At 39.6% G+C, this 13,426-nt stretch overlaps 1 protein-coding gene across 5 annotated transcripts in view, besides 1 other annotated feature; it reads left to right on the top strand.

Moving 5' to 3' along the window:
• Positions 1-1,458, top strand: part of LPXN (leupaxin) — a 52,021-nt gene extending 50,563 nt beyond the window's left edge. For all 5 annotated transcript variants that reach the window (XM_047427882.1, NM_001143995.3, NM_001307951.2 and 2 more), the window contains 2 exons: positions 138-286; positions 606-1,458. In XM_047427882.1, the coding sequence (XP_047283838.1) occupies positions 138-286; positions 606-875 (419 nt within the window). In that variant the 3' untranslated portion in view covers positions 876-1,458. The remainder of the gene's footprint in view (positions 1-137; positions 287-605) is intronic.
• Positions 3,439-3,733: a silencer, noted in NCBI's record as "tiled region #15251; HepG2 Repressive DNase unmatched - State 12:CtcfO". NCBI's record gives its function as "represses a minimal TATA promoter and a strong SV40 promoter by Sharpr-MPRA in HepG2 cells {active_cell/tissue: HepG2}" and the evidence as "EXISTENCE:reporter gene assay evidence [ECO:0000049][PMID:27701403]".

The raw sequence follows: 13,426 nt of genomic DNA, 5'->3' as shown, positions 1-13,426 counted from the left end.
TACCCTTTGAATTAGGTAACAGTAATCATCCTATTTTGAATATGAGGACACTGAGATTGAAAGGGCCTCCTCTCAGTCTCCAGTGTAGCTTTCAGGGCTCAACCTGCAACAGTGAATTCCTGATTTTATCTCTCCAGGCTTTCATGAGAAGGACAAGAAGCCATATTGCCGAAAGGATTTCTTAGCCATGTTCTCACCCAAGTGTGGTGGCTGCAATCGCCCAGTGTTGGAAAACTACCTTTCAGCCATGGACACTGTCTGGCACCCAGAGTGCTTTGTTTGTGGGGTCTGTATAATCACTTTTCTTTCGGACTTAGGGAAAGTCAAGGGTTCTCCTCTCTGAGAGGAAGAGCTGCAGTTAGTGAAAGGGTTCACAGTCCTGAATGAGGAATGGATGTGCGCATCCTAAAGGAGAAACGAGATACAGATCCATTTGCTTGTCTGTTTTGCAAGCGGGAAATCTAGTCTCCATTTGTCAAGAACCTGAGGGAAATTCCTGTAGCTGGCAGGTAACTGTCAGGAATTTCAAGGCTGAAAATTTTACTTTGCTGACATTTTACCTCTTGACATTTGCATTCTTTTTCTCTCTCTTCTCTCTACCCCAGGACTGCTTCACCAGTTTTTCTACTGGCTCCTTCTTTGAACTGGATGGACGTCCATTCTGTGAGCTCCATTACCATCACCGCCGGGGAACGCTCTGCCATGGGTGTGGGCAGCCCATCACTGGCCGTTGTATCAGTGCCATGGGGTACAAGTTCCATCCTGAGCACTTTGTGTGTGCTTTCTGCCTGACACAGTTGTCGAAGGGCATTTTCAGGGAGCAGAATGACAAGACCTATTGTCAACCTTGCTTCAATAAGCTCTTCCCACTGTAATGCCAACTGATCCATAGCCTCTTCAGATTCCTTATAAAATTTAAACCAAGAGAGGAGAGGAAAGGGTAAATTTTCTGTTACTGACCTTCTGCTTAATAGTCTTATAGAAAAAGGAAAGGTGATGAGCAAATAAAGGAACTTCTAGACTTTACATGACTAGGCTGATAATCTTATTTTTTAGGCTTCTATACAGTTAATTCTATAAATTCTCTTTCTCCCTCTCTTCTCCAATCAAGCACTTGGAGTTAGATCTAGGTCCTTCTATCTCGTCCCTCTACAGATGTATTTTCCACTTGCATAATTCATGCCAACACTGGTTTTCTTAGGTTTCTCCATTTTCACCTCTAGTGATGGCCCTACTCATATCTTCTCTAATTTGGTCCTGATACTTGTTTCTTTTCACGTTTTCCCATTTCCCTGTGGCTCACTGTCTTACAATCACTGCTGTGGAATCATGATACCACTTTTAGCTCTTTGCATCTTCCTTCAGTGTATTTTTGTTTTTCAAGAGGAAGTAGATTTTAACTGGACAACTTTGAGTACTGACATCATTGATAAATAAACTGGCTTGTGGTTTCAATAACTCATTGTCATATTTGTTTGGGAGATAAACTTTCTGCTTCCCGTGTTATATACTAGGCACTATGTACAATTAAGATTATATCATACCTCGTTTCCTTCCATCCAATGCACACTTTAAAATTTTTAATCAGAAGAAATTAAAAGGAGGGTCTCCTTTTCACTAATTTTTCTTTTTTTTCTTTTTAGTTTGGTCCCATAACCATTTTATTTTCTAGACTTAGATGATTGAATCATTTTTAAAAATGACAAAGCTTCTTAAAATTGTTTTTATTACTTTGTTTACAGGAGGAGAAACCCTGGCTCTCCATTAGAAACCTTACAAATTCATTTCTTTTTCCTTTTTTTTTTTTTCTGAGATGGAGTTTCGCTCTTGTTGCCCAGGTTGGAGTGGAATGGCGCGATCTCGGCTGACCGCAACCTCCACCTCCTGGGTTCAAGCAATTCTCCTGCCTCAGCCTCCTGAGTAGCTGGAATTACAGGCATGCGCCACCACACCAGGCTAATTTTTCTATTTTTAGTAGAGATGGGGTTTCTCCACGTTGGTCAGGCTGGTCTCAAACTCCCGACCTCAGGTGATCCACCCACCTCGACCTCCCAAAGTGTTGGGATTACAGGCGTGAGCCACTGCGCCCAGCCACAAATTCATTTCTAAAGTAAAAAATGAAACACAATTTCACATTTGCCTCCTGAAGACAAATGAGATGGCTGTTCTTAGAGCATCTCTGAAGAAAGATGCTATAAATAAAGCTCAAATGATTATTATCTAGAATTAGGAAAGCCAAGACTCAAAGAAAAATTCCTCTTAATCATTTGTTCATCTCAAAATATTATAAGTAAATGTTTAGAAAAGCTTGTCAGGTTATCAGAGAATCTGATTTTCTTATGTCCTGTCAGTTTACTGTCCTACAGTTTACTTTTTATAAAAGTAAGCTTCACAAGGACTAATCTTTCTGCAAAAGGGATATTGAGAAGATCAGTACAATATCTTTCTTCCCGTGGTCTTAAAAATAATTGTGTGATTATTTGTTATAACAAAAACCAGACTCTTAGAATCCTTGATTCTGAGATAAGTTACTGGCGAAAACTCCTTCACTGGAGGTATTTTTAAAAATAGGACAAAATTTGATGTCTTTAGATTGATAGAGGAATAGTACTACTTGGGAGAGCTGAAATGGATTAAATGTTTCTTGCCAAACTTTATTATATCTATGTCCTTTGTTGGAATGGATAATAAGGGGGTTGTGAGAGTTACAAGGAATTGGCAACAGTTAATTCTATAAAATAGGAACTCCAAATGCATGTAAGATATGTGGGAGGCCACACAGATACGGAACCATCTGGCCTCTATCCTGTTTGGCTGTCTGAGAGCGCCAGACTATGCAGAACACACATTCAACTTTTAAACATCCTCTTTGCAATGTCTTCACTCAACGATGTCACACGCAGGTGTTAATATGGCAATGTTCTTGGTTGCCTTGGCAATTTGACAAAATAAACTTGGAGTTTTAGCCCTTAAAAAGAAATGTACAGGTGCTAAAACTTTTTTAAAAAGGATTAGCTATTTTGAGATTCAATAGAATTTAACTATTTTTAAATGTCAAAGAAAATCCAGAGTTCACTAAGATGTAATTAAGAAGTGAAAACACTTTCTTCCCACATTGAACGGAAGTGGTTTTATTTGCTCAAAAAGAGATACTGACTTCAGGACCAGTGTTTTAGCAATAAGGAAACTACTCACAAGTAAAAAGTTCTGCTTTTTAAAAACCCTGGAAATGCCATTACTAAAATTGATCACGTACTTATTTACTTTTGGTTTTGAGTAACTTCTAGGATGTTTAAAAAATAAAACCCACCCTCACAGGACAGGGATTTTCCACCAGTGAATATAAACATATAGAAAGGAATATGCTCTAGAGTTGGCACTGTATTCTCAAAGGGGAGTCCCTCAATTAGTTTGGTCAGTTTTTCTTTGAAGTAAATTTAGTCTCTTCCAAGGTAATACTTTGATAAAGACAACAATTATTTTTCCATCCAAGTTCTATCACACACTCTTCTTGGAGTTGTAGGATGGCTGCCAGCGCATGCTTCTTGTTTCATAACCAGTAGGGGGAGCAAGAGTGCTTTTATCGAGCATTTGCAAGCAAAAGTTCTGGGATTCATCCTCACTGGTCTAGCCTAGGTCACATACCAGTAATTTTTGCTGGGGGAATGGATTCTGCAGCTTGGCTTAAACCAAACTGAATTATTTCCAAAGTTACAAGCAGGACTAAGTTTCCCGAAAGCACAAGGGCTTTGTGGAGGAGATGTGAATACTTTAAAAGCTGGATATTGGTAAGAAGCGGGAAGAGGACAATGAATCTTGAATTCGTGTGTTCAAAAGTGAAAATATTGGAGTTTCTGAGTTTCAAGGTAATGTAGAAGGTAAGCAAGCAGGCATTGTCAGTATCCTGAGGGATCATGTCCAAGAACTTTACAGAACCCAAAGGCAGAGGAGAGAGCCAGGAATGCTGGTGTCCTGAGGAACATGCGGCAGTGGCACTGCTCTTCCTGGGCCCCTAGGGGCGCACCACTGAGAAGCATCAAAAGCACCTTCAGTTTGGCAGTCTGGAAAAGGAGATCTTGCAGCTGAAATCAAGGTGAGAAAGAGTAGCAGCTTCCTTTAGAGGCGAGTGTCTTAGGCATAAGCACGTCCTCAATAAGGCAGTGGTGGCAGCCACTGAAATATGACACTGAAAAAGAGATTGCCTGTCCCCAAAATATTGTGGAGGTTGTGTTACTAGGTACCATCAGTGCAGCACATTAAGTGCTGGGAACACAGAGCTCAGTGGGGAAATGGAAATCTCTTGGGATCCACAGGATAAAAAAGAAAGAAATCTCAGGTAAAAGCTGGTGCTTGGGTTGTACTTGTTGCAAATTTATAACTTTGCCAGAAGGCAGTGTTGTCTCAAATTTATAAGAAAGGAGACAGTTTATGTAGGACATTCCCCTACCTTAGATATAGTCAGCGTATAGTGCCTAAATTGATTTTCCGTGGGGAGAAGTCTCCTAACTGTGTTTAGGTTCATAGACCATGGATTACGGACAATTGCATAAACTTCCTGGCACCCTGTTGAGAGCCATCCATCTTCCCTTCCTATTTTGGATATCATTAAATCACAATAAATACTGTATTATGGGAATAACATTTTTCCTGGGATAAGTACCTCCATTCTAGCGAGAGATATCTCAGATCACAGGTGTTACTGGAAAAACTCCTAAAGCTGAAAATGAACAGACCAAGGAATCAAAGAAGGCTTTACTTTCTCTAAACTTTAACTTAGAGAATTTGATTTTGGATTTTAATGTTTTTGGACTTTGATATGCTATGTTGAATAATATTATTGGATATAATTGAGGATGGGACGTGAAATGAAAGGGGAGTGAATTTCTGAGCTGTTTTTCCCCACAGTCTAGTTTCTCCACAAAGAACTGCATCTCCCATTCTTGGTCCATGTGTTTAGGCAAGGCTGACTTTAACCTCAGCCTCAGAAATAGGTACAGTCCCAGGTCTGACCAATAAAAGTACTTTGTTCTTCTGAAGGAAGGTGATTGGATCAGGGATAGACATGTGACCTCAGCAAAGCCAATGACCTTTACTAGATTTATTCAGAAAGAACATTCCCATTCGTTGGAATTCTAGTTGTGCGGATAATAAAAACCCATTGCTGCTGATAAATATTTTTATCATCACTTGGGGGAGGCTGTCTGAGAAAGAGGCCAGCACAGTGGAACGTAGAACCAAGTAATGGAGAGGCTGTGTTTTCTTTTTTTGAGCCACTCAGTTCTACCATAGCAGCATCTTAACCATAGACTAGGAAATTATGTGAGCAAATAAATTCTCTTTTTTGTTTACATTGAACAAATAAACTCAGTGTTGGTACAGAACGTATATTGTATATCGTCATGAAAAACTAATACACAAAAATAGTGTTTGATCACTTCTTGATGCTTTTTACACCAGAGCACAGTGAAACTCTGTAGTTTAAGGTTAAGTCATCCTGTGGATAGCTCGCATATTTAGAGTACAAGCTTCTTGCTCCTGTCCAATTTTGCAGTATCTGTCACTATTACAAAGGGGAAGAAAAAGGTTGTGAGGGTGTTGTCATCCTCTAAGATTTAAAATTGTTTTGGAAATGATGGTATTCATGCTACTTTGTTTAATTATAATCCAGAGAGAACTATTACGTATTTGATATTACTGCAATACTCTTTATAGTGAAAACTAGTTTTAAAACATCCTGATACCCCACTAGCAAACAAAAAAGGAAGAAAAATTAGACGATTATAAGAGAAATCAATTTACATTTATCCTGTGTCTTAGTCTGCGCAGTTGCCAAAACAAAATACCATAAATGGGGTGTCTTAAGCCACAGAAATTTATTTTCTCATAGATCTGGAGATGAGAAGTCTCAGATTAAGGTCTGCAGGTTTGAATTCTGTTGAGGGCTCTTTTCTTGGCTTGCATATAGCTGCCTTCTTGCTTTGTCCTCACAGGGTGAAAAGAGGGAGAGAGAGAGAGACCACAAGAGATCTGGTGTCTCTTCTTGTAAGGAAACCAATCTTATCAGATCAGGGCCCAACCCTTATGATTTCGTTTAATCTTAATTACTTCTTTACTTAAAATACAGCCACATTGGGGGTTAGGCCTTCAACATATTTTGGAACGACACATTCAGTCCATTACATCCTGAAAGGTGCTACTTAAAGAAAATTGGGTTTATATGAAGTTAAGGAGGAAAAAGAAGACATTTATAGTGATTCTGAGAGGGGACCTTAGGGACACTTTTCAATGCTTTGGAAGTTTGAAGTGGTTATTTTCATTATGTTCAATAACACTTAGAAAATAGGACTTTCTGTCTCTAGGTGCTCTTGCATTTTCAGACATGAGTTAGAAAATATTGGAGGCTCAAAAATAAAATGAAGAACTTGGAGATTTTCCTAAGATAATCTGAAAATTTTGAAATGGAGGAAAAGTAGGACGGAAGAAAGTTACAGGATATATAAGATAATTTTTGAGTTGGGCAAGGTGAAATTTTCAGAGCTTTCAGTAAAGGAGGCAAGATGGGCCGTATAACACACTATCTGAGGAAAAGAAAGACAGAGTGGGGGGAATTGTCACTCAGTTCCCTTACACAAACTACCTGGTGAAGCTACTACTTACCCTAGATTGTCTCACAATTTGGGGTTTTTCTAGAAGTGGATGCTGAGACTAGGACTTGTGTATAGTAGTCTATTTAGGAGGCAATCTCTAGATGTACAGCTAGAAGAGCCAAAAGTGAGATATTTTCTATATTCTACAGGGATTACGCCTGTAATCCCAGCACTTAGGGAGGCCGAGGTGGGCAGATCACGAGGTCAGGAGATCGAGACCATCTTGACCAACACAGTGAAACCCCGTCTCTACTAAAATACAAAAAATTAGCCGGGTGTGGTGGTGTGCAGCCTGTAGTCCCAGCTACTCAGGAGGCTGAGGCAGAGGAATCGCTTGAACCCGGGAGGAGGAGGTTGCAGTGAGCCAAGATAGCGCCACTGCACTCCAGCCTGGGCATCAGAGTGAGACTCCGTCTAAAAAAAAAAAAAACCCAAAAAAACAAACAAACAAAAAAGAAAAGGCAAGGAAGCCAAATCAGTGTGCATTAATGAGCAGATTACTGTCTTGGGAAGTTGGAACTCAATACTCAGAGGACCTCTGGGATTCATTGTAGAGTACAAGAGGTGGTCCACCAACCCTTACACCCCACTTTGTCTTCCTTGTACTCAAGCTGCATGTACTCTGAGGCCAAAGAAAGCCCTTTTTCTAAATCACAGGCACTTTGAGTAGGAGCAGCAGTGTGTACCTAGCAGTAAGTGCCAACAGATAGGGGTGGGGAACTAATGCCATTTGTTGGGTAAAGTTATCGAGGGGTAAGGTTAAAAGGAAGAAAATCATACCAAAGGACTTCACATTACCGGTAATCACAAGACCGAATTTGTGGTAAGCCATGCATTTGCAAAGTTTTATAATATTCCCAGCTCTATGAAGCTTAATGTATTTCATCTAAGGTAGTATTAGTAGAGGGGATGACAGAAGGGAGAAAGTGGGCAAGGATTATTATTTCCATTTACCTGTGGAAGAAGCAGTTGATTACATGAATAGGTCAAGGTGACTTGATTTAGAAACAGAACTAAAGTTTGTTAATTCCTTGTCTGGGATGCTTTCTTTTAGGCTGTATATCAACAATGTAAAGTGCCCATGAGGTGAATTTTCAAGGGACAAGCAAGGGCACTAGGGCATCAAAGTGATCTGCTCTAGGCTACACTGTTTTGGTTATAGTGGCAAGAATAGCAGCCATGGCTTCAGGCAAACCAAAATTTAAAAGTTGAGTTTACCACTTGCAAACTGTAAGTGAATTTACCGCTTGTAAACCTTGGTTAAACCACTTATCTTCTACAAATTTAGGTTTCATGATATGTTAAACATGGGTAATAATATCCACGTGGGTTTGTTGTGGGGATTAACTGAGATAATACGTGAGAAAGGGCTTTGTAAACTGCCAAGTACCATACATAAAAGGCATTAACAAAATAGTCCAAGAGATATGTGAGGAAGTCAACACAGCATCCATTCCTAGCATTTCCATGGAGACCATGAAACCATAGCAGGCTTTTAGTTGTTTTTGTATGATTTTAGAAATCTTTTTTAAGGCTCAGGATGAAAGCTGATGGAATTGAAAATGCTGGGAGATTAAGAGAAGAGCTTGAGTTTGAGCTCATAATCTTCCTTTACAGCAACATATTGACAAAATAATACTCAGGAGTGAACGATCTCCATGGCACAGAAATCTATGCAGTTAGCTACTTCCCATAGATGGAAAACAGCTCACCCAGGTCAAGGAGGCATAGCCATGAGAAAAGAGCTCAGGAGCCTTCCAGGGCCAAGATTTTCCACTGCCTGCCATAGATCTAACTATAATCCAAGGGAAATTCCTAGGAAAATCTTTTTTAACGCTATTACTTAAAATAATTCAGCTTGGGAAAGATACAATTCCATATGCCTTCTGATCAACAGCTAGGTAATGGATGGTACTCTGTTAGCCAATACCAGACTCACTGACAGGAATATTGTGATCTTTTGGTATATGGATCATTTGAGACTGATGTAATTGAGTTGCAGTTAAAAGGTGGGGAAGACTTTATGTTGTGGGTCTTGACTTCAGGTTTGAGTTTCCATCCCAGCTCTACCACTTACTAGTTCTGTTCCTTCATGAATATCCTTTGGTTTTTGAGCATTTATTCACTCACTCAGGGAAAAGAAAGTTGAGTTAGAAGTGTAGTTCCAAGGATGATCAAAGTTGAGAAGTAATTTTTGGATGTAACTGGACAGAGACCACAGAGATGGAGATATTGTTGATTTAAGAGATGTGAGGTGACATAACTAAAACAGATTCTAAAGGATACAGATGATATGGAGGCAGGAGCCCAGATGAGAGTTATACTTAGGAACAAGAGTGTTCCATCTTCTATGTGTTTACGTATGCAAGTGTTTTGTAACAGCAGACAGATGCAGTTTCCTTTTCAAAAGTGGGAGCAAGATATATTTCAAGACACCAGTTTAAACTGTTTTCATTAGCAAATAGCCCCAGGGTTTATCAATTTAAAAATTTTCCATATTTGTTCATAATGACAAGCAGACAGTGCTACTTTAAACTATCACATCTAGTGATCTGGAAGCTAGTTTGTTGAGTTAAGGACAAATACATTTCCCTGAGGTGGGCTCCTAAATTGATATACCTGTGCCTTCTCCAATTTATTAAATAGAGAATCAGATGGGATTTGCATAATTCAGTAGGTACTTACTGTCAAAAGGCACTGTTCTAGGTTCCAGAAGAAACCTAAGATGAGTAAGGCATAGTTTGCCTTCAAAAAGTTTACAGCCCAGCAAGGACCCACACATTCAGTCTCTAATACGAGTTTGTCCATACAGGATGGTTTCTGGACAGGATTGTGTAATAGGTAGGAATATAGGAGTGGGAGAAGCTAAAGTATTGTGTTCTAGGAAAAGAAACAAAAGGAGACATAATATACAGGAGAAAATAACACAAAGCAATTTGAAAAAAAAATGCTATAAATAGGACACACATAATTGTTTAAAACCTCGGAGAAAAACTTCACTTTGGAGATGGCATTAATTTGAACCTAAAAGTAAAAGTGATTAAAAAAAATAAAACTAGGGCATTCCAAACTGAGGGAACAGCACGAAATATGTCAAAGGGGGACAGCATACATGGTGTGGTGAGTGAAGGAAGGACCCAGTTCACTGAGCGTCCACAGTGTGCCAAACACTGCGGCATGGGCCCTTGGGGTCTATGTGGATAGAAAGTAGGATGCCTGGTGGCTATCAAGAGAAATAAAAACTGGAAAAACTGTTCAGGGTTAGAGTGCTTTGAATGTCAGGCTTGGGAAGCGGGACATCATCTTGTAGGCAACAGTCATCAACAGTGTTGAATGCAGTGGATTGTGGAGAGAATGGGAGGTAGCAGAAGGTGTGACCACGCACGAGCTGGGGTTCCAAGTTTTCTGTGTTTGCTCCATTGTCCCATTGGACTTTACCTACAAAATGCAAATTCAAAGATAACATTTTAAATAATTTGAAGATGACAATCACAAGATGTTAGTCTCAAAGGGTGGGACTTTTCTGAGCACAGGGTCTGTTTTGCACATCTGTGAAGCTAGCCTCGGAGCAACCTTTAAGAATATTGTTTCAGCTAGACCAGAGAAATAAGTGTTGAGATTTATGGCACTTCAGGGTGACTATAGAAAATAATAATATGTCAAAATAACTTACAGAGTAAATTTCAAATGTATCACCACAAAATAATGTCAAGCCTGGGTGCAGTGGCTCATGCCTGTAATCCCAGCACTTTGGGAGGCCAAGGTGGGCAGATCACGAGGTCAGGAGATTGAGACCATCCTGGCTAACATGGTGAAACCCTGTCTCTACTAAAAATACAAAAAATTAGCTGGGCGTGGCGGCAGGCGCCTGTAGTCCCAGCTACTCAGGAGGCTAAGGCAGGAGAATGTCGTGAACCCGGGAGGTGGAGCTTGCAGTGAGCCAAGATCACGCCACTGCACTCCAGCCTAGGTGACAGAGTGAGACTCCGTCTCAAAAAAAAAAAAGAAAAAAGGTCAAGAGGTGATGTCTATATTAGCTTGATTTAATTGCTCCACATTGTATATCCATATCAAAACATCACATCATACTCCATAAATGTAATACAACTGTGATTTGTCAATTAAAAATAATATAAATAAACAAAAGAAAAAAGAATATTATTTCAACATAGTGGAGTAGAAACAGTTGAAGCTACAATGCAGCGGATTAGGAGAGAATGGAAGATGCTGTGGACCACTTTTGATCATTTTGATGGTAGAAGGAAGGATGCTGGTATAGCACAAGAATATATTAGGATGGGAGACAGATTCTTGAACATTTTTGGGGAAGAGATGGTAACTTTAGAATGTCTATGGACAAATGGGGTAGGAATGAGTAAGGGAGGGTGGAGGGACAGGAGTAATTGCCATAGTATGGTCTCACCAAAGTAAGTAGAGATGGATCAATGGCATAGATGAAGGGGCCAGCCTGCTACAGAAGAGGGGGAAATTCTGAGGTAGGAAGGCAGAGAAGGATAGGATGGATTTAGATGGAGAGATTGTAGTAAAGTTAATATTAGATGGCCTTGATTTGGTAAAGGAGATGAAGGAAAACACATCCACAGAGAGTGCATTTACCTGAGTGGGGCTGCAGAGTCTGCAGACACTCAGAAAATTCTGAGAAATTGATGGATAGAAATAAGTCTGCAAGTCATGAAGCATTGAAATTAGGCCAATTAATAACCCTACCATGAAGTCTGAATGTTCAATAGAAAGGAAGAGTTGCATATCTCTCACTTTAAATCAAAAGCTAGAAATGATTAAACTTAGTGAGGAAGGCATGTCAAAAGCTGAGACAGGGCAAAAGCTGAGACAGGGCAAAAGCTGAGACAGGGCAAAAGCTAGGCTTTTTGTGTCAAACAGTTGTCCCAGTTGAGAAAGCAAAGAAAAAGTTGTTGAAGGAAATTAAAAGTGCTACTCCAGTGAAGACCTGAATGATAATAAAGTGAAATATCCTTATTGCTGATTCAGAGAAAATATTAGTGTTCTGGATAGAAGATCAAACCAGCCACAACATTTCCTTAAGGCAAAGCCTAATACAGCAAGGCCCTAACTCTCTTCAATTATGTGAAAGCTGAGGAAGTTGAGGAAGCTGCAGAAGAAAAATTGGAAGCTAGCAGAGATTGGTTCATGAAGTTTAAGTAAAGAAGCCATCTTTAGAACATAAAAGTGCAAAGTGAAGCAGCAAGTGCTAATGTAGAAGCTACATCAAGTTATCCAGAAGATTTAGCTAAGATAACTGATGGAAGTCGCTACACTAAACTATATATATATGTATATTTTTTTTGAGACAAGGTCTCCCTCTGCCACCCAGGCTGGAGTGCCATAGTAAGATCTCGGCTCACTGAAGCCTTTGCCTCCTGGATTCAAGTGATTCTCATGCCTCAGCCTCCTGAGTAGCTGGGATTACCACACCCTGCTAATTTTTCTTTTCCTTTTTTAATTTTTTTTTGGAAAGGGATGGGGTTTCACCATGTTGCCCAGGCTGGTCTCAAACTCCTAACCTCAGGTGACCCGCCTACCTCAGCATCCCAAAATGCTGGAATTACAGGCATAAGCCACCATGCCCAGCCTAACGATAAATTGTTAATGCAAACAAAACACCGTTATATTGAAAGAAATGCCATCTAGGACTTTCATAGCTAGGAAGGAGAAATTGATGCCTGGCTTCAAAGCTTCCACAAACAGGCTGACTCTATTGTTAGGGGCTAATGAAGCTGGTAAGTTTAAATTGAAGCCAATGTTCATTTATCATTTTGCAAATTCTAAGACCCTTAAGAATTATGCTAAATCTACTCTGCGTGTGCTCTATAAACGGAAAAGACTAGATTATAGCATGGTTTATTGAATATTTTAAGCGCACTATTGAGACCTACTACTTAGAAAAAATATTTTTTTCAAAATATTACTGCTCATTCACAAATGTACCTGGTCACTCAAAGCTTTTATGGAGATGGACAAGGAGATGAATGTGGTTTTCATGCCTGGTAATACAATATCCATTCTGCAGCCCATGGTTCAAGGAGTAATTTTGACTTTCAAGTCCTATTGTTTAGAAAATACATTTCGTAAGGCTATAACTGCAATAGATTGTGATTCCTCTGATGGATCTAGTGAAGTAAATTGAAAACCTCTGGAAGGATTCACCATTCTAGATACCACTAAAAACTTTTGTGACTCATGAATTCATGTAATTAACATTAACAAGAGTTTGGAAGAAATTGATTTCAACTCTCTTGGATGACTTTGAAGGATTCAAGACCTCAGTGGAGGGAGTAACTGCAGATGTGGTGGAAATAGCAAGAGAACTAGAATTAGAAGTAAAGCCTAAAGATGTGACTGAACTGCTGCAATCTCATGACAAAACTTGAACAGATGAGGAAATGCTTCTTATGAATGAGAAAATAAAGTGGTTTCTTGAGATAGAATCTACTCTGGGGGAAGAGGCTGTGAACATTGTTGAAATGACAACAAAGGATTTCAAGTATTCCATAAAGTTAGTTGATAAAGCACTGGGAAGGTTTGAGAGGACTTAATACAATTTTGAAAGAAGTTCTACTGTAGGTCAAATGCTATCAACAACAGTTCATGCTACAGAGGAATTTTTCATGAAAGAAAGTCAATCAGCCAGGCACGATGGCTCATGCTTGTAATCCCAGCACTTTGGGAGGCCGAGGTGGGTGGATCACTTGAGGTCAGTAGTTCCAGACCAGCCTGGCAAGTCTGGCAAACATGGTGAA

This window comes from Homo sapiens, chromosome 11 (assembly GCF_000001405.40).
Source record: "Homo sapiens chromosome 11, GRCh38.p14 Primary Assembly".
Lineage (NCBI taxonomy): Eukaryota > Metazoa > Chordata > Mammalia > Primates > Hominidae > Homo > Homo sapiens.
This window is presented reverse-complemented; position numbering and strand designations above follow the sequence as displayed.